General features: G+C 43.8%; 2 protein-coding genes and 1 pseudogene across 4 annotated transcripts in view; 1 reads left to right on the plus strand and 2 right to left on the minus strand.

The window, feature by feature from the left end:
- Window positions 1–22,242, minus strand: part of EIF2AK1 (eukaryotic translation initiation factor 2 alpha kinase 1) — a 36,929-nt gene that overhangs the window by 6,260 nt on the left and 8,427 nt on the right. Inside the window, exons 3-13 of one of the 3 annotated variants that reach the window (NM_001134335.2) lie at window positions 21,406–21,539; window positions 20,301–20,338; window positions 18,486–18,585; window positions 17,565–17,645; window positions 16,056–16,155; window positions 14,427–14,484; window positions 12,386–12,713; window positions 10,054–10,165; window positions 8,918–9,018; window positions 412–526; window positions 109–191 (exon numbers count right to left, since the gene is read on the minus strand). In NM_001134335.2, coding sequence (NP_001127807.1) covers window positions 109–191; window positions 412–526; window positions 8,918–9,018; window positions 10,054–10,165; window positions 12,386–12,713; window positions 14,427–14,484; window positions 16,056–16,155; window positions 17,565–17,645; window positions 18,486–18,585; window positions 20,301–20,338; window positions 21,406–21,539 — 1,250 coding nt within the window. Of the gene's footprint in view, window positions 1–108; window positions 192–411; window positions 527–8,917; window positions 9,019–10,053; window positions 10,166–12,385; window positions 12,714–14,426; window positions 14,488–16,055; window positions 16,156–17,564; window positions 17,646–17,779; window positions 17,849–18,485; window positions 18,586–20,300; window positions 20,339–21,405; window positions 21,540–22,242 lie in introns of those variants that run through there. The other 2 variants (NM_014413.4, XM_047420200.1) reach the window with 2 other exon arrangements.
- On the plus strand, window positions 2,870–8,046 carry ANKRD61 (ankyrin repeat domain 61). The gene is made up of 3 exons (NM_001271700.2): window positions 2,870–3,085; window positions 4,333–4,430; window positions 6,938–8,046. The coding sequence occupies exons 1-3, from the start codon at window positions 2,870–2,872 to the stop codon at window positions 7,878–7,880; spliced, it is 1,257 nt and encodes a 418-aa protein (NP_001258629.1). The 3' UTR covers window positions 7,881–8,046.
- RN7SL851P (RNA, 7SL, cytoplasmic 851, pseudogene) lies at window positions 19,215–19,517 on the minus strand (annotated as a pseudogene).

Below are 22,242 nucleotides of genomic sequence, written 5' to 3' on the forward strand. Positions count from 1 at the left end.
CTCCCAAAGTGCTGGGATTACAGGCGTGAGCCACTGCACCCAACCCTGTATTGTTATTTAAGACTGCAGAATAAGTTGAATGAAAGGGCAGAAAGCAACAAATACTACCTTGGCATCATACTCAGATCCTTCCAACTGTTCGGGTGAAGCGTACAGACAAGTACCCACTCTGGACGTATGTGTTGGTGTTCCTATCATTTCAAAAGCCACATATTAAACATTGCAGTTAGCGCTGTCAACATTAAAGAACATTTACTATGAGGAAGCAGTGTAGCTCCTAAGAGAACAACAGTTGCTTTGTATCTTTATCTTACCTTTGCTATTAAATCTTTATGATTCTCTTTAAATACTAACATGTGCAACCATGTCTTTTGCTTATGCAAAGAAAACAAAACAAAACCAAAAACTTACTCTTCCCGTTTCTGTTGGTCCAGTCTGTGTTCTTCTGTAGGATGTCTGTGCAGGCCAGACCAAAGTCTCCTATTTTTACTTGCTGATCAGGGCCATGAAGAAAAATATTTCTTGGCTATCAACAAACAAAACAAGTCAACTCCTTGGCTTTCTTAAAACAAATAGTAATATCTTGTAAATGTTTTTAAGTGTTTGGAACTCAGGAGCAAGCAGCCCCTCAAAAGTTAAATATTTGAGGAATAGTTCCCAAATTTGCCTACACATCAGAATCATCCAGGAGTTTTAAAAATCTCAACATCTGGCCGGGTGCAGTGGCTCATGCCTGTAATCCCAGCACTTTGGGAGACTGAGGCAGGCGGATCACCTGAGGTCAGGAGTTCAAGACAAGCATGGCCAACATGGTGAAAAACCGTCTCTAAAAAATACAAAATTAGGTGTGGTGGCACGTGCCTGTAATCCCTGCTACTAGGGAGACTGAGGCAGAAGAATGGCTTGAACCCAGGAGTCAGAGGCTGCAGTGAACCAAGATTGTGGCATTGCACTCCAGCCTGGGCAACAAGAGCAAAACCCTGTCTCAAAAAAAAAAAAACCTCAACATTCAACCATTCCCCAGGCCAGCTGCATCAGAACTCCTGCGGGTGAACGCAAGCATCAGTATTATTAAAAGTCCCAAGGCTATTCTAAATTTGGAGAATATTAATGTAGAGCATGCTTTGTACACAAGTGCTTCCCAACCCTTACTGCACATCATTACCCAAGAAGCTCTTAGAAATGACTGTCCTCGGCCGGGCACGGTGGCTCACACCTGTAATCTCAGCACTTTAGGAGGCTGAGGCGGGCAAATCGCCTGAGGTCAGGAGTTCAAGACCAGGCTGGCCAACATGGTGAAACCCCATCTCTACTAAAAATACAAAAATTAGCCAGGTGTGGTGGTGCATGCCTGTAATCCCAGCTACTCGGGAGGCTGAGGCAGAATTGCTTGAACCTGGGAGGCAGAGGTTGCAGTGAGACGAGATCGCATCACTGCACTCCAGCCTGGGAAACAGAGTGAGACTCTGTCTCAAAAAAAAGAAAAGAAAAGAAACGACTGTCCTGTCGAGTCCAGAGACGTGATTTTCTATGTGTGAGAAAACATTTTAAATGGCTTTTTCAAGGCATGATAAATCTAAGCACCGGCAGCCAGCCTGCAAATGTAACAAACCACATGGCTCATCCACCTGGAAGATCACAATAAGTGAACAGGATGTAGAGGAGTCAGCCCATAAAAGGGAAGAAAGTTTCATTACTGGGAAATCCAAACTTAAGCGGGAAAGGGACCAGGGTATAACCTTCTAAGGGGATAATGCAACTTAGGCGACGTCCGGGAAGATCGTAACCCTGTAGTCCTTGACCAGTGAGGAACTGAGGTAGGGTCTTGCATGCTAGGAGATAAATCACCTGTTGTAACTGCCCTGGGTGTACCTGCCTACCAGACACGTGACCTTGCAAGAGGGCTATTAAAAGTCTCACTTTCACTGTTCTTTGTGCCTCTAAGTTCACTCTTTGGGTTTGGACGGGTGAGCATGTTTCTCGCACTACGAAAAAACTGATTTTTTTCTTTAAGACAGAGTCTTGCTGTGTCGCCAGGCTGGAGTGCAGTGGTGCCATCTCGGCTCACTGTAACCTCCACCTCTCAGGTTCAAACAATTCTCCTGCCTCAACCTCCTGAGTAGCTGGGACTACAGGCGCACGCCACCACAGCCAGCTACTTTTTGTATTTTTAGTAGCGACAGGGTTTCACCATGTTGGCCAGTATGGTCTTGATCTCTTGACCTCATGTTCTGCCCGCCCTGGCCTCTCAAAGTGCTGGGATTACAGGCATGAGCGACCGCACCCAGCCAACTTTGATATTTTTTAAAAGCTCCCAGATAACTCATATGTATTAGCCAGGGTTGGGAACTAATAGATCACACTAAATGGCTTTATTTAAGCAAAGAGTACAGACCCAAAACATCTCCCAAACTATTCCTATGCCGGAGAAAAACTGAACCCATAATGGGGAGAGGGAAGATTCTATTATAATAAAAACTAAAAAATAACTTAAGGTTAAAAGTTTTCTTACTTTAAAAGTAATAATTTTAACTTTGTATTTTAATGTATAAATTCCTCTGTTTTAGCTTTGATCATTGTTTCAGCTACACTTGAACTGGAGAGAAATCAGAAATAAAGGTGTAAGATGATAGCTTGAATATGTTTTTATGATAGAGTAGAAAACCCTAAAAACTGCTGACATTTGACATTCTATGATCAAGGAACAAAGTCTGGACGCTTGGTTCCAAACTGATGGATTGCCTTCACAGATCCAATTCTCGACAAATTCTAGAACAGTTCTAGAACTGAACTGAAAGAATCATCACAAAGAGACTGAAACTGACCAATTCCATAACAACATTTTCCCCTGAAGTCTTAAGTTTTTCTCATGGGGAATATAACCAGGAAAGGAAGCAGAGACCTGGTGGTTGACAGTGCCAAGTCCCTGGAAGATGGCCCATCTGCAGCACTTCACTCGAAACTCTATGAAGCCATCATGAGAGAAGACTGCACTACGATCGAGGTACTCCTGAGAAATCACCCTGTCAACCAGCCCATCACCATTCTGCCCAACTCCGCCAGCAACAGATTACTTCTGACCCAGGTACCCTCTTTTCTGCTCAGTCACTTCTGGAAAAAAGTCAGGCTGCTTAGAAAGAAGCATGATCTAAAGCTGGTGAACCCACTAAGCTCACGGCCCTTATGAGAATGAGACACGACTCCAGCTCACTCCACACACACTGCAGTGCTCCCCAAAGCCTGCAAAGCCTCCCCTACACATGTCACACACAAACCAACATGAGAAAACACCAGACCCTGTGTGACTGGAAGACCATTCATGTCATCTCTCAAACATACCCACAGTGATGATCTCCATGTGGTCAAATTAGTTTTTCCCTTTTTTGGCCAGACGCAGTAGCTCATGCCTGTAATCCCAGCACTTTGGAAGGCTGAGGTGGGTGGATCACCTGAGGTCAGGAGTTCGAGACCAGCCTGGCCAGCAGGGCAAAACCCCGTCTCTACTAAAAATACAAAAATTAGCCGGGCTTGGTGGCAGGAGCCTGTAATCTCAGCTACTCGGACGGCTGAGGCAGGAGAATTGCTTGAACCCAGGAGGCAGAGGTTGCAGTGAGCCAAGATCGTACCACTGCACTCTCTAGCCTGGATGACAGAGCAAGACTCCATCTCAAACAAACAAACAAAAAATAGTTTTTCCCTTTTTAATATATACATTTTCATTTTCTAAATTTTTATACAATGATTATTACTTTTACAATTAAATTCAAAAAGGAAGTCACCCTCCCTTGTACCCTACTGTCTTATCTTGCAGCCACGGTGTGAAACCACTACTTACACGTGTGTATTTTAAGAGCTGGCACAAACAGCTCTGCTAATCATAGACAGAACATATGCTGCGTTATATTTGAAAACCCTGAAGATTCAGGTTTTACTGCTGATAATACGACTTTGGCAACGACACAGCACCTACTTGTCCATCACCCTGTGGGTTAATTTAAGGAATAAGTGACTTCATAGCAAGTACCCTTAATATCACACCACAGGCTCTTCTGAAGAATCAACTTTCAAAAATTTCCAAAGCTTTTGAGTGTTATTTCTGTTGCCTCAGTAAATGTGCATTTCTGTGAAACACAGATTTTATAGGATGGAATTCACTGAATTTTGATCATTTAAAACAGGTAGTAGAAAGGAAACTTTCAATGCACATACCAGAAAAAGAGTGAGCCAATGAGACACTAAATAAATGTATTGCCTTTGAAACGGCAAGCTAACACAAACAGTATTTTTAACTACACAGGGCCACTTGTAATGTGTTTTGTTTTCCCTCCAAAGCCGACAGAGTCTATCATCCCCATCCATCTGGCTGCCAAGTACCACAAGGCCCAGAGTCTGCTCTGCCTGTTACGGCACGGTGCTGACCCAGAAGTCAGGTAAGTTAACTCCACCGAAAATCATTTCTTTTTTTTTCTTTTTTGTTTTGAGGCAGGGGTCTCGCTCTGTTGCCCAGGCTGGAGTGCAATGGCACAATCTCGCCTCACTGCAACCTCTACTTCCTGGGTTCAAGAGCTTCTCCCACCTCAGCCTCCCGAGTAGCTGGGATTACAGGTGTGCGTCACCATGCCCAGCTAACATTTGTATTTTTAGTAGAGACAGGGTTTCACCATGTTGGCCAGGCTGGTCTTGAACTCCTGGCCTCAAGTGATCCACCTGCCTCGGCCTCCCAAAGTGCTGGGATTAACAGCCCTCAGCCACAGCACCCAGCTTCACTGACAATCATTTCTAAGTGAGGATATACCTGATATAGATTTTTTTTTCAGTTCATACATTTTTTCCACTTATGTTTGGACTTGTTCGTTCTTATGAATGAACCAATGTCTTTACTGAGTAGATGAGATACTCTGAAAAACTGAGAAAAATGCAACATCATAAATATTTTGCCAAATTAATGCACATTCTGAGGATTAAGAGCTCAATGGTGGTGTTGTGAGGAATGCAGTAAAGTCCTTGCCATGGCCTTCAATAAGTTTAACCACCAAAGTTAGGTGTGAAAAATAAAATATAGGTAGACAATGGATTTTCTTTATTTTTGGTTTTTGTTTTTTGAGACAGAGTCTCGCTCTGTCGCCCAGGCTGGAGTGCAGTGGCACCATTCTCCTGGGTTCACGCCATTCTCCTGCCTCAGCCTCCCAAGTAGCTGGGACTACAGGCGCCTGCCACCACGCCTGGCTAATTTTTTGTATTTTTAGTAGAGATGGGGTTTCACCATGTTAGCCAGGATAGTCTCAATCTCCTGACCTCGTGATCCGTCCACCTCAGCCTCCCAAAGTGCTGGGATTACAGGCGTGAGCCGCCGTGCCTGGCCGACAATGGATTTTCTTGTTTATTACTCTCCACTAGAAGGTAAGCCGCATGAAAGAGAAGTTGACCTTGTGCACCACTGTATCTCCAGCACCTCAACCAAATCAATGCCTGACACTTAGCACGTGCTCAGTAATACTATCCGAGTGAATGAAAGAATTAAGTAGTATAGGCCGGGCGCGGTGGCTCACGCCTGTAATCCCAGCACCATGGGAGGCTGAGGTGGGTGGATCATGAGGTCAGGAGTTCGAGACCAGCCTGGTGAAACCTCATCTCTACTAAAAATACAAAAACTAGCCAGGCGTGGTGGCGGGCGCCTGTAGTCCCAGCTACTCGGGAGGCTGAGGCAGGAGAATCGCTTGAACCCGTGAGGCAGCAGTTGCAGTGAGCCAAAATCACGCCACCACACTCCAGCCTGGGCGACAGAGCAAGACTCCATCTCAAAATAATAATAATAATAGAACTTCTTGCCCCAAATCCTTACCATGCTCCAGAAGAACCCACCTGACCTGTCTTGCTCCCAGCCTCTCCCTGAGCACCCCACCCCAGCTCTGCAAGTCCTCTGGAAGTCCCTTCCACATCTCAACCATCACAGACTCGCCCCATTCTCCTTAGGGGACCCTTTCCTACCCTGCATACTGCATGCACTATGTGAGGCTTCTGCACCTCTCTAGAACTCTGCCGGCTTCCACTATTTACTGAGCTGTTTCACTGTTTCACGTCTATCTTCCCTGCTAGACTATAAGCCCTACAAAGGTAGGGGCCACCTGCTGTTTCACCATATCCATAGCCTAGGGCCTCACGCTAAACAAATCTATGTGAACTAAAATCATTTTCTAATTTCAGCAGAGCAGTTAGATTTACATAATAAACCTTCCTTTTGCTCTGCCAAAACAAAGGAATTTTTGAAAGCGCTTCTGAGATGAGGGCCAAGTTGTAAAATGCCCATTCCACCTGGCCTGGAGCAGGGAATGAACTTCGGAATGACCACAGGTCTTCAGATTCAACCCCTGTCACTTCTGCTCCCTACACACTCACGCAGAAAAATGTCGGGTAGGAGAGCAGAGACAGAGCCTCTAAGAAAGGAGTCAACGGGAGTTCGGGCCTTCACGGCTCACTTCTGTGGCAATAACAGATCACACTCAAGTCCACACAATTTCACAGAAAGCCAGTAACCCAGCCCAGCACTGTGTGAGGTGCCAGACTGCAGAAATCACTAAGATACAGCCTTGAAGGGACACAGCCCTAGCGGGGACGGCACAGGTAAAACAGGCTGCTCCAAGAAGCTGGGCCTTCTTCACAACATTGTATAAAAGTGAAAATAATTTTTCAAAAAAAAAAATTATATATACATAAAATGAAGCTAGGCCCCATCACGTAGTGATGCATCCCACCACATCCCACGAAAAACCCTGGGATAGCCTGAGAAACTACCCAGCGATACAGATTTTGAAACACGTCCTTAAGGTAATTGAAGGGTCTTACTTTAAATAAATACTGGCTTCTTAAGCATTAACTGTCCACGTAGAGCCGTTCCCACTGTGAATTCAGTGTAACGTGTAATCAATACCCATTCTAGGGACACGACAGGCCTCACCACACTCAACTTAATGCTACTGCACTGGCCAGTCACTTCCACCACGTGGGCAAAACCAGGCAACAGAACGCACAGGATCCTGACAGACATTCAGAATAGCAGCATCACATGTCTCCGCATCTTGTGTGCGCACGGAGCTCAAGTGAACACTCAAGGGGAAATCAGCAACAAACGTTCACCACTCCACCTGGCCATAGCATATGGTTGCTATCCAGTTCTCTCCATTTTGACCCAAAATGGTGCCGATGTCAATGCTATTAATGAAGCCAGCATGACACCCCTTCACATGGCCGCAAACATGCTGAATAAGGAGATGATGGAAACGCTCATTGCCTATGGAGCAAACGTCAACTGTGCTGTCTCTTCCACGGGGAACACGCCCCTGAAGCTTGCAGTGTGCACTGCATCAAGCAAAGCAGGCCGACTCCTCGGGGCGGGGGTCAGCTGCATCCGTCTGCTACTCACTCACGGAGCCAAAGTCAACGCCCAGGACTACAAGGGCCAAACAGCCATCCATGAGGCATGCTTTGGAGGCAGAGAGGCAATCATCAATCTCCTGCTTGAATTTGAAGCAAATGTTAACATTTTAACAAGAAACGGGGAATCTCCAATTTATATGTACCTTCAGCGCAGTTGCAATGTAAGAGATACGGCACTTCTGGCCAGGCTACTTTATCACACTTATCCTCTGAGAATGACCAATAACCAAGGAATTCTACCTGCAGGAATCATGCTACCAGAATTCCGCCTCTTAAGGGACACCCTAATAAAGCAATCGCAAAAACCTTTATCCCTACAGGGTATCTGCAAAAGAAACATCAGGAATATTTATGGTGAGAAATACAAACAGCACTTGAAGCAATTCCTCCCAGTGACAATATGGAATTCTGTCTACTGCTGTTATGACTTGGCATATACCTCTTGAAATAAGACCTCCCAGTTTCACAGCAGAGGGACTTTCAGCCACTCAAACTGCATTTTCTGGCTAGACATGTCCCAGAAAATGCTTCACCTATCACCTGTGACATCCCAAATGTACAAACTACTGATTCTTGAACATGTTCCAAAATACAAAGTGATTTGTCTATTAACATTTTTGTTCCTAGGTTTTTTTTTTTTTCATGCCCTTTCCATGATTTAACTTTGGGCTGAAAAGTAAGCAAATTAATTTAAATCTCTTCAGCCAAAGACACAAATATATTTTCTCTCTTTCTTGATAGCCTTTTGTGGATAAAAATCAAATAGTCATTATAGACTTTTCTAAAACAGCAAAAAAACTTCCGATTTTGTTAAACTTTAAGATGAATAATTATAGAAATAGAGTTTACCTCTAAGTCTGCAATAATAAATGAGCATTTCTGTCAGCACTAAATACATTTAGCACCCCTGATTATAGCAGTACTCAGAGCACCTGAAAAAAAGTACTTATACTCCACAGAGGATTTTCAAATGCCCCAAAATTACTACTTTAAAATTCAACTTATAACCAAGTGCAGTGGCTCACACCTGTAACCCCAGCACTTTGGGAGGTCAAGATGGGAGGATCACTTGAGCCCAGGAGTTCAAGATCAACCTGGGCAACATAGTAAAACTCCATCTCTACAAAAAAAAATTTAAAAATTAGCTGGGCATGGTAGCACATGCCTGTAGTCTCAGCTACTAGGGAGGCTGAGGTGGGAGGATCGCTTGAGCCTGGGAGTTGGAGGCTGCAGTGAGCTGTAATCGTGCCACTGCGCTCCAACGTGGGTGACAGAGCGAAATGCTGTCTCAAAAAAAAAAAAAAATTCGACCTAATGTTTCCATACTCTGGATCTATCGAACAATGACTTATCTGACAGTAATTATAACCTCCTAAGCAAATGAACTAGGACATGTAATCTTATTTAGTTTAATCAACCAACATCAAGTCGTCCCTGATACAAAGCTCCCACTGCTTTCAATGATTTCATCGCCCCCACTTACCTTCAGATCTCGGTGCACAATTCCCATGTTATGTATGTAAAACACACCTTCTACCAATTCTTGAAAAATTTTTGTTGCAACATTGGCCATAACATAAGGACCTTGAAGTAAAAAAAAATAGTTTTATTTCTCTAATTTTTTTACTCATTACATGGGCATCTAAATATTAATGTCATTCTAAATACATTAACATCTGACACTTAAGAACAATCTAGATTTTCAACAAAGTCAATGCTGCAGAATGGTCTAAAACCTAGAAATAAGCAGGAAGGCTTCCTCAGCTGGCAAAGAAACCATCACAAACCAGCACCCAACAGTTGATGGACTTTGTCAACCAGAAACAAAGTACCTCTAACTTCAATCACAGCCCTCCCCTGTATTAATGACTTTTTAAATAATTCTCGGGTATCAGGCAACTAGAGTCGATAAAGTTTAAGTTCCCTTGAACCCTTGACATTCTGGGATTTAATGCTAATAAATCTGGTATCCTAGCCCACAGTGGATTAAAGATATTATTACAAATAATGGAATAAGAAAAAAGATAAAATATGTTAGCTCCAGGAATATGATTCAATCATCTGGAATGCCTCACTTTCCAAAAATGACACAGCATATGGCCCAAAAAATGTAAGTAAATTAATTCATCTATTAATATGATGACATACATTTAGAGGATGGAGAGGTTTTACAGGACTAACACAAAAATTGATAAAGAAAACATTCTGGCCAGGTGCAGACGCTCACGCCTATAATCTCAGCACTTTGGGAGGAGAGGACAGGAGGATTGCTTGAGATCAGGAGTTGGAGACCAGCCTGGGCAGGATAATGAGACCCTGTCTCTACAAAATTTTGTTTTTCAAAATCAGCCAGACATAGTGGCATGCACCTGTAGTCCCAGCTACTCAGGAGGCTGAGGTGGGAGGATCGCTTGAGCCAGGGAGGCCAAGGCTATAGTAAGCAGTGGGTGTACAACTGCACTCCTGCCTGAGCAACAAACAGAGCAAAGCTCTGTCTCAAAAAAATAAAATAAATAAAAAATAAAAATGAAAAAAAGCACCTGGAGGCAACTCCTACATGAGATGGGGAAGGTGTGACTGTGTCTATTTCCCGGCCCGGCAGACCCAGATGGTACTCACAGGCAGACTCGTCCACATACTCCCGGCCCCGCTTGTTTCTCTCGACTATCCAATCCCACAGCGAGAGCTCACACAGCTGCATCTGGATGTGCAGCATCAGGTGGTACTGTGCCTAGGAGAGGACACAGTGATGGCTCCCATCTTTGCACGATTCACTCGCATTATTCATTTAGCCAACAAATATTAATCTGCCTATTCTGGGCCAAGAGAGTAGGCCTCTAGGGAAGTCATTAAACCTGTGTGGACTTCTCTTTGCAAGACAGAAGTGTCCTCAGGACACAGGCCCACCCAAGAAGCCCAAAGTCTAATGAAAGTGACAGATAAGGAGACTGATAATTAAAACCGGGTGTTGTAATACCAGCAGAAGGGGGGCCAGGCTGAAGTCAGGCAGGGGTCCAATGGCAGAAGCTCTCAACTGTGACCCGGAGAAACTGGTCCTGAAACTGGTCTGCTCGCTACATAAACAGTTTTTAAAGCTAAGAGAAAGCATCAAAGAATGGCTGTATGATATTCTACTACTCTATATATTTCTACAAAGTATATATACTTTGTCTGGCTTCACGTTGTACATAACTAATAACTTATTCAATAAAAAGTTAAGCAAACACTAAGCTTACTGTAGCCCACTGTATATACCATCTGATTTAGGCATCTAAGAAAATTTTCCAAATAAAATACAGAGAAATGAAATGATTCTGATTAAAAGTCCCCCAAACTCAAGTCATCCAGATTCAGGCGAAAGAGTTCAAAGTTCTAAGTTTCATAAAAAAGCACAGGCTTAGCCAGGCGTGGTGGCTCACACCTGTAATCCCAGCATCTTGGAAGGCCAAGGCAGGTGGATCACGAGGTCAGGAGTTCAAGACCAGCCTGAACAACATGATGAAACCTCGTCTCTACTAAAAATACAAAAAAATCAGCCAGGCGTAGTGGCGCGTGCCTGTAATCCCACTACTCAGGAGGCTGAGGCAGGAGAATCGCTTGAACCTGGGAGGCGGAGGTTGCAGTGAGCTGAGATGGCACCATTGCACTCCAGCCTGGGTGACAGAGCAAGACTCCATCTCCAAAAAAAAAAAAAAAAAAAAAGCACAGGCTTGGTAGGATGCAGTGGCTCATGCCTGTAATCCCAGCACTTTGGGAGGCCGAGGCAGGTGGATCACCTGAGGTCAGGACTTTGATACCAGCCTGGCCAACATGGTGAAGCCCTGTCTCTACTAAAAATACAAAAAAATTAGCTGGGCGTGGTGGTGGGCGCCTGTAATTCCAGCTACTCGGGAGGCTGAGGCAGGAGAATCGCTTGAATCCAGGAGGCAGAGGTTTCAGTGAGCCGAGATCATGCCACTGTACTCCAGCCTGGGTGACAAGAGCAAAACTTTGTCTCAAGAAAAAAAACACAGGCTCAGAAACACATATTCCGTGACAAGAATTAATTCTGTGCTGTGTCTTTGTAGATGGTATATACAGTTTTATAATCTTAACAAGACAGATTATGTGTAGACCCTGACAATTTTCATGTTTTTAGTTTTATTTTTTTATTTTTTTTGAAACAGTCTTCCTCTAGTTGCCCAGGCTGGAGTACGGTGCCTCCCGGGTTCAAGCGATTCTCCTGCCTCAGCCTCCTGAGTAGCTGGGATTACAGGCGCACAGCATCGCGCCTGGCTAATTTTTGTATTTTTAGTAGAGACGCGCTTTCACCATGTTGGCCAGGCTGGTCTCGAACTCCTGATCTCAGGTGATCTGCCCTCCTTGGCCTCCCAAACTGCCGGGATTACAGGCGTGAGCCACCACACCCGGCCTAATGTTCATGTTTTTAATATTACTACTTAAAATACTGGGGAAAGCATGGTGGCAGCGTGGCCATGGAAGGAGGGTTGTATCAGTATGACCCTCAACAAGAGCCTCCTGAAAACTACAACTAACATAAAACCAATTTTAAAATTAAAAAGAATATCCCGAATACTGAGCTGCTAATCCTACTGGGACTCACCTAAAGTCATGCTGCAAAATCGTTTTGCATAAATATATCTTTATAGCATGATGCTAACATACAACACAAACAGAGTGTGAGTGAGGCCGCCAACTCTAGGGTACACACTCAAGATGATCTGAAGCTGTAAATGGCCAGGTCGGGGAGGCCAGAAAAGGACGTGGAGGAGTTAACTAAGTGAAGAAGGGAGAACCAAACGCAAAGGCCCCATGGCAAGGGGAACATGGCCAGTACAAGAGACTGAACGCAGGGCAGAAGCGCCAGAGCTGAGAGAGGGCGAGAGAAGGCCACACACCTGCACAGTCACCAATACTGGCCAAATTAGGAGGGTCTGGGAAAGTAATCTACCTCTGTCTGACCCAAAAAGTTGACATTTTCTTCGGAAGATTCTTCGGTGGATGTGAAACTCTCCTCTAGGTGGGAATTACGCCTGAGTGGCAGCTGCTGTTCCACAATTGAACTGGCAGACAAACCAGCCAAGCCATTTTCCTGGAGCTCCAGGGTCGACTCAAGTTCACCAGATTCTCTTATGACTAAATTGGTGGTGTACTTCACCGACTTGTTATTCTGATTTTCAGTGTCAGATTCTCCAAAGCGTTTTTCTTTTTCTGGGGTGGGCTCAGCAAAGATAATGGATGAGCTGCTACTTTCATCATTTTTAACACCACATTGCTCTCTGAAAAAAAAAAAAATAGTAAACATAAAAGTCAATGGGCCGAGCACAGTGGCTCATGCCTGTAATCCCAGCACTTTGGGAGGCTGAGGCGGGCAGATCACTTAAGGTCAGGAGTTGGAGACCAGCTTACCCAACATGGTAAAACCCCATCTCAACTAAAAACACAAAAATTAGACGGGTATGGTGGCATACGCCTGTAATCGCAGCTACTGGGGAGGATGAGGCAGGAAAATGACTCGAACCCAGGAGATGGAGGTTATAGTGAGCTGAGATCATGCCACTGTACTCCAGCCTGGGCGACAAAGTGAGTGAGACTCCGTCTCCAAGAAAAAAAAAAGTCGGCCGGGTGCAGTGGCTCATGCCTGTAATCCCAGCATTTTGGGAGGCCAAGGCAGACAGATCACAAGGTCAGAAGTTCGAGACCAGCCTGGCCAATATGGTGAAACGCCATCTCTACTAAAAAATACAAAAATTGGCCGGGTGTGGTGGCATGCGCCTATAGTCCCAGCTACTTAGGAGGCTGAGGCAGGAGAATCGCTTGAACCCGGGAGGAAGAGGTTACAGTAAGCCAAGATTGCGCCACTGCACTCCACCCTGGCCAACAGAGTGAGACTCCATCTAAAAAAAAAAAAAAAAGCCAATGTATAGGTCTGGCACAATGGCTCATGCCTATAATCCCAACACTTTGGTAAACCAAGGCGGGAGGATTGCTTGAGCCCAGGAGTTCAACACTAGCCTGAACAGCATGGCAAAACCCCATCTCTACAAAAAATACAAAAATTAGCCAGACATGGTGGCGCAAGCTTGTAGTCCCAGCTACTCAGGCAGCTAAGGTGGGAGGATTGCCTGAGTCCAGGAGTTGGAGGCTGCAATGAGCTGTGATCATACCACTGCACTCCAGCCTGGACAAAAGAGCAAGATCCTGTCTCAACAAAAATAATAAAAAATAGGCCAGGTGCAGTGGCTCACAACTGTAATCCCAGCACTTTGGGAGGCCAAGGCAGGCAGATCACCTGAGTTCAGGAGTTTGAGACCAGCCTGGCCAACATGGCAAAACCCCGTCTCTGCTAAAAATACAAAAATTAGCCAGGCATGGTGGTGCAGGCCTATAATCCCAGCTTCTAGGGAGGCTAAGTCAGGAGGATCGCTTAAACCTGGGAGGCAGAGGTTGCAGTGAGCTGAGATCACATCACTGCACTCCAACCTGGGCGACAGAGCGAGACTCCATCTCAAAAAAAAAAAAAAAATACCGACAGGAAATATCTGAAAGGAAGAAATAATTTAACATTTTGTAACGGAAATAAGCAAAGTCTAAAACACTCCTCCTGAGCTCCTTGTAGCAAAAGACAAAGATAGCCCAGTGCAGGCCAGGTGCAGTGGCTCACGCCTGTAATCCCAGCACTTTGGGAGGCCGAGGTGGGCACATCACGAGGCCAGGAGATCGAGACCACCCTGGCTAACACGGTGAAACCCCGTCTCTACTAAAAATACAAAAAACTAGCTGGGTGTGGTGGCGGGCACCTATAGTCCCAGCTATTCGGGAAGCTGAGGCAGGAGAATCACTGCAACACAGGAGGCGGAGGTTGCAGTGAGCCAAGATTGTGCCACTGCACTCTAGTCTGGGTGACAGAGCGAGACTCTGTCGCCAAAAAAAAGAACAAAAGCCCAATGCAGGTGACAAGAGGTAATGTCCTAATATGTAAAAGGACATACCTGTCCTCTTCCTGGTCGGAGAGCACTTCCAGAGATGGCAACTCAATGGCAGCTCTGTCTGCTGAATGAAAACAAACAACAATCATCTTCAAACAGCCCAGTTTTTCAAATTGTAGTCAAAGACAGAGTTAAAATATACAAATAGTGTCAAATGAGACTACAAGTCTAAAAATGTCATGACCTTCTGGCAAAATACAAAAAGTTTATTCAAATGGCACGTGTTAGGAACCGTAAAAACAAAGCCATGCAACTATACGAGGGGTCAGCAAACAGCACAGAGGACTTGACAGTAAATATTTTAGGTTTTAGGGCCCTCTGGGACTCTGCTGTAACTGAACAATTCTGTTATGGTATAAAAGCAGCCATAGGCCCAGTGGCTCATGCCTGTAATCCCAACTCTTTGGGAGGCCGAGGCTCGAGGATCACTTGAGCTCAGGTGTTTAAGAACAGCATGCACAATATAGTGAGATTCCTCATCTCTATTTTTAAAACAAAATTTAATGTAATTTTTTTTTTGAGGCAGTCTCGCTCTGTTGCCCAGGGTGGAATGCATTGGCACGATCTTGGCTCACTGCAACCTCCACCTCCCGGGTTCAAGTGATTCTGCTGCCTCAGCCTCCCGAGTAGCCGGGACTACAGGTGCTCACCACCATGCCCACCTCATTTTTGTATTTTTATTAGAGATGGGGTTTCACCATATTGGCCAGGCTGGTCTCGAACTCCTGACCTTGTGATCCTCCTGCCTCGGCCTCCCAAAGTGTTGGGATTACAGCCATGAGCCACACTGCCCCCAGCTAACTTTAAATTTAAAAAGCAGCCATAGACAATATATAAATGAAGAGCCTGTGTTCTAATAAATTTTATTTATTGATATTTAAATTTTGGGCCAGGCACAGAGGCTCATGCCTATAGTCCCAGCACTCTGGGAGGCCGAGGCAGGTGGATCACTTGAGGTCAGGAGTTCAAGACTAGCTTGGGCAACATGGTGAAACCCTGTCTGTACTAAAAATACAAAAATTAGCCAGGCGTGGCGGCACACACCTGTAATCCCAGCTACTCGGGAGGCTGAGGCAGAAGAATCACTTAAGCCCAGGAGGCAGAGGTTGCAGTGAGCAAAGATCGCGCCACTACACTCCAGCCTGGGTGACAGAGCGAGACTCTGTCTCAAAAAAAAGAAAAGAAAAAAATAATTTCACATAATTTTCACAAAATCTTCTGATTTTGTTTAACTATTTAAAAATGTAAAAACCAACCAGGCGCGGTGGCTCATGCCTGTAATCTCAGCACTTTGGGAGGCCGAGGCGGGCGAATCACGAGGTCAGGAGATCGAGACCATCCTGGCTAACACGGTGAAACCCTGTCTCTACTAAAAAATACCAAAAAAAAAAGTTAGCTGGCCGTGGTGGCGGGCACCTGTAGCCCCAGCTACTCAGGAGGCTGAGGCAGAAGAATGGTGTGAACCCAGGAGGCGGAGCAGCCTGGGCGACAGAGTGAGACTCCGTCTCAAAAAAAAATATGTAAAAACCATTCTCAGCTTGTGGTATGTACAAAAACAAAGGCAGGCCAGATTTGGTGCACGGGCTAAAGTTTGCCAACGCTTCAACTACCATACCATCAAAAACGGCTTACCTCGTGGCTGAATCACATGAACATGTTCTATCCACGCGGTGTGATAGCCAACAATATTGGGGTGCTGAAGACCTGCCAGCACCTTCACTTCCCGTAGGACCTAGAAAAGAAATGGAAGTAGATCTGCCTTTTGCTGATAACTTGTTAAATGTTTATGCAATACTTCTTGTTCCAGAGCAAAATACAGATGGCCCCTGACTTACAATGGTATGAAGACATCACAATTTTTGACATACTTTGAATTTTGATCTTTTCTCCAGCTTGCAGTATGCGGTGCATGAGATATATGGTATTTTATTATAAAATATGCTTTGTGCTAGATGATTCTGTCCAACTATTGAGTAATGTAAGTGTTCGAAGCACATTTAAGGTAGGCAGGGTAAGCTATAATGTTCGGTAGGTTATGCATATTAAAATGCATCTCCAATTTACAATATTTTCAATTTATGATGGGTTTATCAGGACATAATCCCATCATAAGATGGAGGACCATCTGTAATGAAAACTCCTCTGTACAAGGCATCTACACTATGTTAAAATAATAGAAATTTTTTTTTTTTTTTTGAGACAGAGTCTCACTCTGTTGCCCAGGCTGGAGTGAAGTGATGCCATCTTGGCTCACTGCAATCACTTTGCTGGGTTCAAGTCATTCCTGTGCCTCAGCCTCCCGAGCAGCTGGGATTACAAGCATGCACTACCACACCCAGCTAATTTTTGTGTTTTTAGTAGAGACAGGGTTGTGCTATGTTGGCCAGGCTGGTCTCACACTCCTGGCCTCAAGTGATCTGCCTGCCTTCGCCTCCCAAAGTGCTGGGATTACAGGCGTGAGCCACTGCACCTGGCCAATATAATGGAAATATTTTTAAGAAACAAATGGCAATTGTTATAGCAACTAAATAACATATTTATAGGGCATTTTATACTTTTTATGGCACACTTATCACCATTCTCTCTTTTGATTCCTACCCCAGTCCTCCAAGGTAAGTAAAATCACTACCGTCACTACTATTTCAGGGCAGGTGACAGAAGTGGCTCAGAGGACTGGACAACTCGTCCAGAACCACACAGCATGTCAGGGAGAAGACTGACCTGGAACTGGGCTCCTGTTTTTTCATAACTAGCTATATTATATATCGATCATTTATTTTAAGAAGTTAACATATTTTAAAAATTATATATATATATATATATAAATTAGCCAGGCATGGTGGCAGATGCCTGTAATCCCAGCTACTTGGGAGGAAGGAGAATCCTTGAACCCTGCGGGGCGGAGGCTGCAGTGAGCCGAGATCACGCCACTTTACTCCAACCTGGCCAAAAGAGTGAAACTCCATCTCAAAACAAAAAATAATAATAATTTAATTTTGGTACTTTACTATAACCCCATTCCTAGTAAACTGGAAATCCACACCGCCTACTTTTGCCAAATATACACATATACATGTATAACTCTTTCAAAAAGAACTAAATACACAATTATTCAAAATAAGTAATTTTTAAAAATCATACCTTCATGCAAACTGTTTTAGTTGCACCCTTAATCAGGATTTTTTTTATTGCATAATACTGACCATCTAATTTATTCCTGACCTGAAAAGTAGAAAAAAAGACAAAGTATATTGTGTCATTAAACTTTAACTGAATAAAGAGGTTCTTTTAATCTGAGCTTAGACAATCCAAACTAGCCAAAGAGGTAAAATATAGCTAAAGACATGTCTCCTTACTATGTTCAGGGAAGTCAGCCGGACTAAGAGCTTTTCAGATAGTGTTGGAAGTCTAGCTCCTAAGAAGCTCTAGGCTGAAGAACGGGAATGTTAGCAAAAGGTGTATGTTAGCTCAAAACACAGTAGTACAACTTTTTTTGGTAACACATTTTTTAATTAAAATTAACTATAGGTCAAAAATTCAAAGTTTCCAAAATCCATGTAAACAATCAACACGGTTAGAAAAACATTACAAACTGCCCACTTCCCTGTACATGACAAATGTTAAAGAAAAGTAAATATACAAGATTTCTTGGAATTTTCCTTTGAGTACATTATATAATAATAATGAAAACAGGCCGAGCACGGTGGCTTATGCCTGTAATGCCAGCACTTTGGAAGGCCGAGGTGGGTGGATCACGAGGTCAGGAGATCAAGACCATCCTGGCCAACACGGTGAAACCCCGTCTCTATTAAAAATACAAAAATTAGCTGGGTGTAGTAGCACATGCCTGTAATCCCAGCTACTCGGGAGGCTGAGGCAGAAGAATCGCTTGAACCAGGGAGTCAGAGGTTGCAGTGAGCTGAGATTGCGCCGCGCACTCCAGCCTGGCGACAGAGCGAGACTCCATCTCAAAAAAATAAATAAATAAAAGAATAATGAAAACAATATCTGAAAACACAATTATTTAGGGTAGTAGGTCAAAACAAGTACGTGGAAGACAACCTTGTATACTCTTCCGTATCCACCTTTTCCTAAGATGGCAAGTTCTTCAAATTCATTTAAGTAACGTGAAGTTTGTGCTTCCAAGGCTACTTCCCTTGATCTGAAAGTTAAATACAAACAATCAATATTAAAACATGAGAGAATCAAAATGTTCTAGGATACCTCATGCTCACAGGATTACTAACCTCACAAACCTCATGTATCACTAAGCTGTGCTGATTTGGAAAGGATGGGCTAAAATGAAATTTTTCATCCCTATGAAGAAAACAAAATCAGGTGTTTTACCAGTAACGGGTATTCCAAGTAGAAATTATTACCGATGTTGTACAGCAGAAATCCTAAGAATCACTAACAGCCAGCAGTTGGTTAGCTAAGCTCAGAAATAAATTTACTGAAATTTCAGCTGGGCATGGTGGCTCACGCCTGTAATCCCAGCACTTTGGGAGGCCGAGGAGGGCAGATCATGAGGTCAGGAGTTCAAGACCAGCCTGGCCAACATGGTAAAACCCCGTCTCTAGTAATAATTCAAAAATTAGCCGGGTGTGGTGGCGGGTGCCTGTAATCCCAGCTACTCCGGAGGCTGATGCAGGAGAATTGCTTGAACCCAGGAGGCAGAGATTGCAGTGAGCCGAGATTATGCCACTGCACTCCAGCCTGGGTGACAGAGCAAGACTCTGTCTCAAAAAAAAAAAAAAATTACTGAAATTTCTTTTTTATTTATTTTTCTTCTAAGACAGGGTCTTGCTGTGTTGCCCAGGCTAGATTGCAGTGGCTATTCACAGGTGTGATCCTGCTACTGAGCAGCACCAGAGTACTGACCTGCTCTGTTTCCAACCTGGGCTAGTTCACTCCTCCTTAGGCAACCTGGTGGTCCCTTGCTCCTGGGAGATCAAGGTCACCATACTGATGCCAGACTTAATGTGGACACCAGACTGGCATAGTGCACTACAGCCCAGGACTCCTGGGCTCAAGCAGTCGTCTTGCCTCAGCCTCCCAAGTAGCTGGGACTGGGTATGCACCACCATAAGCAGCTTCTTAAATTTCTTAATGATGTAGACCAATTAGATTTTTATTTTAATGTAGAGTGCTTTATCAAGATATAATTCACATACTGTCAAATTCACCTCTCTCAAATGTACAATTCAGTGGTTTTTAGTACATAAAGTTGTGCAACCATCACTGCTACCTAATTTCAGAATATTTTCATCACCCCCAAAATAAACCCTATATCCATTAGCTTTCACTCCCCATCCTTCCCTTACCCCACTCCCTGAAAACCACTATTTACGTCTCTATGGATTCACCTACTCTGGATATTTCATAGAAATGAAATCACACAATATGTGGCCTTTTATGACTGGCTGTTTTTACTTAGGATGTTTTCAAGATTCATCCATATTGTAGCATGAATCCGTACTTCATTCCTTTTAATAGCTGAATAACACTTTATTGCAGGGATAGACCACATGCTTATCTATTCATGGGCTGATGAATATTTAGGTCAGACCAGTTAGATTTTAAACTAGTATTTAAACTAGCGAGAATTCAATGGTCCCCCTAACAGAGCCTGGGTATCAGGAATCTGAATTAACAGTGTGACCATGGAATCCACACTCAGTGGCGAGAGGCAGGGGATCAAAGAGGAGGGAATAAGAAGCAAAGCAAGTCTCAGAGCAGTACTTAATTGCTGAGAACAAAGTTTTTAATGTTCATAAATAATACTAACAATATTATGTTTTAACCTCAAATCAGTATTTTCTTAATTTTGATTTCTTTTCAATAGTCTGCATAATCAAGAAAGTTTTTCACACATACCTGATTTTCTGGATACGAGAAATATCCTCACAAGGATCCTACAATTAAAAAATTGTTTTTAAAAAGCATTTTGAAAACTTGCATGGAATAAAGAACCTATCAAAATTCAATATCACATTAACAACCCCAAATGCATAAACAATATTTTAAAAACCACTGGCTTTTTCAGTATTACTTAAGAGTTTACAACTGAAAATACTTCAAAGCTGAGAACAGACCAGCAAGCAGACAAGACTGACGTCACCTTCAAAATCCATGCAGGAGCTCCCCACCCCTCCTGCCTGCCCACCTCTCTCGCGTGTATGGTGGCACCTGGCACCCTGCTTCTGCCCGTGCCCCCTCAGTCCATTCGCAACACAGCAGCCAGTGTGACCCCACTAAAATGTAAGTCAGATTGTGTCACTCCTCTAATCAAAATCCTGTACCACCTCCCATCTTACTAAAAACCATAAATTAGGTAGGGCGCGGTGGCTCACGCCTGTAATCCCAGCACTTGGGAGGCCAAGGCAGGCACATCACGAGGTCAGGAGTTCGAGACCAGCCTGGCCAACATGAAGAAACTCTGTCTCTACTGAAAATACAAAAAATTAGTTGGGTGTGGTGGCAGGTGCCTGTGGTCCCAGCTACTTGGGAGGCTAAGGCAGGAGAATCCCTTGAATCTGGGAGGCAGAGGTTGCAATGAGCCAAGATTGCGCCACTGCACTCCAGCCCAGATGACAGTGCGAGACTCTGTCTCAAAACGAAACAAAACAAAACAAAAATAAATTGAAATTGTCTCAAGATCCCAGTCCATCTGTGGCCTCTCCTTTGCCTCTCCTCTCTTTTTTTTTTTTTTTTTCAGGCAGGTTCTCACTCTGCTGCTCAGGCTGGAGTGCAGTGGCACAACCATGGCTCACTGCAGCCTTGAACTCCTGGCCTCAAATGATCCATCTCAGCCTCCCAAAGTGCTGGGATTAAGGCATGAGCCACACCACCATGCCTGGCCTAGAGTTTATACTTTTAAAAACTTGTTTTATAATCAGAATTTCACAGTGCTTTAAAATATAATTATCTTAAAATTAAAGTATATTTTTGTCATACCCAAAGTATATTTTTTAGGGCTTACCTGACGAACTCTCTCTTTAGCAGACCTCATTAAGTGAGTAATAGCTCTGTTGTGATGTAGTCTCAATGAGCTAAACTCGTCACTACAAGTGAAAGAAGACAGCAGCCCCATTTTGATAAACGTCTGGCAAAGTACTATAAAAAGAATATGAAAAACTATTATTAGAAACATCTTTAATAAAATGGCAATTTTAAAGTGTACACAGAGAATAACGTGTAATAATAGCAATATATACAAAAACCTCAATAGGAAAAATACTATATTTATAAACACGTTAAACTTGGAGAATGTTCTCTAGAATAACGTAAAAGAAATTTTTTTTTGAGACAGAGAGTGCAGTGACAACTATCTTGGCTCACTGTAACCTCCACCTCCCGGGTTCAAGTGATTCTTCTGCCTCAACCTCCCAAGTAGCTGGGATTACAGGCGTGTGCCACCATGCCCAGCTAATTTTTCTATTTTTAGTAAAGACGGGGTTTCGCCACATTGGCCAGGCTGGTCTCGAACTCCTGGCCTCAAGTGATCTGCCCAACTCCACCTCCCAAAGTGCTAGGATTACAGGCATGAGCCACCAGGCCCAGCCCTTAGATAAATTTTTTTAAAAAGCGAAGAAACTTGGGGAATGATTCTCTAAAAGAGAAGGAACAACTAGTACACTCATTCATGAAAAGCACAACTATAATTACTTCTCTTTTTTTTTTTTTTTTTTGAGATGGAGTCTCACTCTGTCACGCAGGCTAGAGTGCACTGGCGCGATCTCGGCTCACTGCAAGCTCTGCCTCCCGGGTTCATGCCATTCTCCTGCCTCAGCCTCCTGAGTAGCTGCGACTATAGGCG

Source organism: Homo sapiens, chromosome 7, assembly GCF_000001405.40.
Source record: "Homo sapiens chromosome 7, GRCh38.p14 Primary Assembly".
In the NCBI taxonomy this organism is placed as follows: Eukaryota; Metazoa; Chordata; class Mammalia; order Primates; family Hominidae; genus Homo; species Homo sapiens.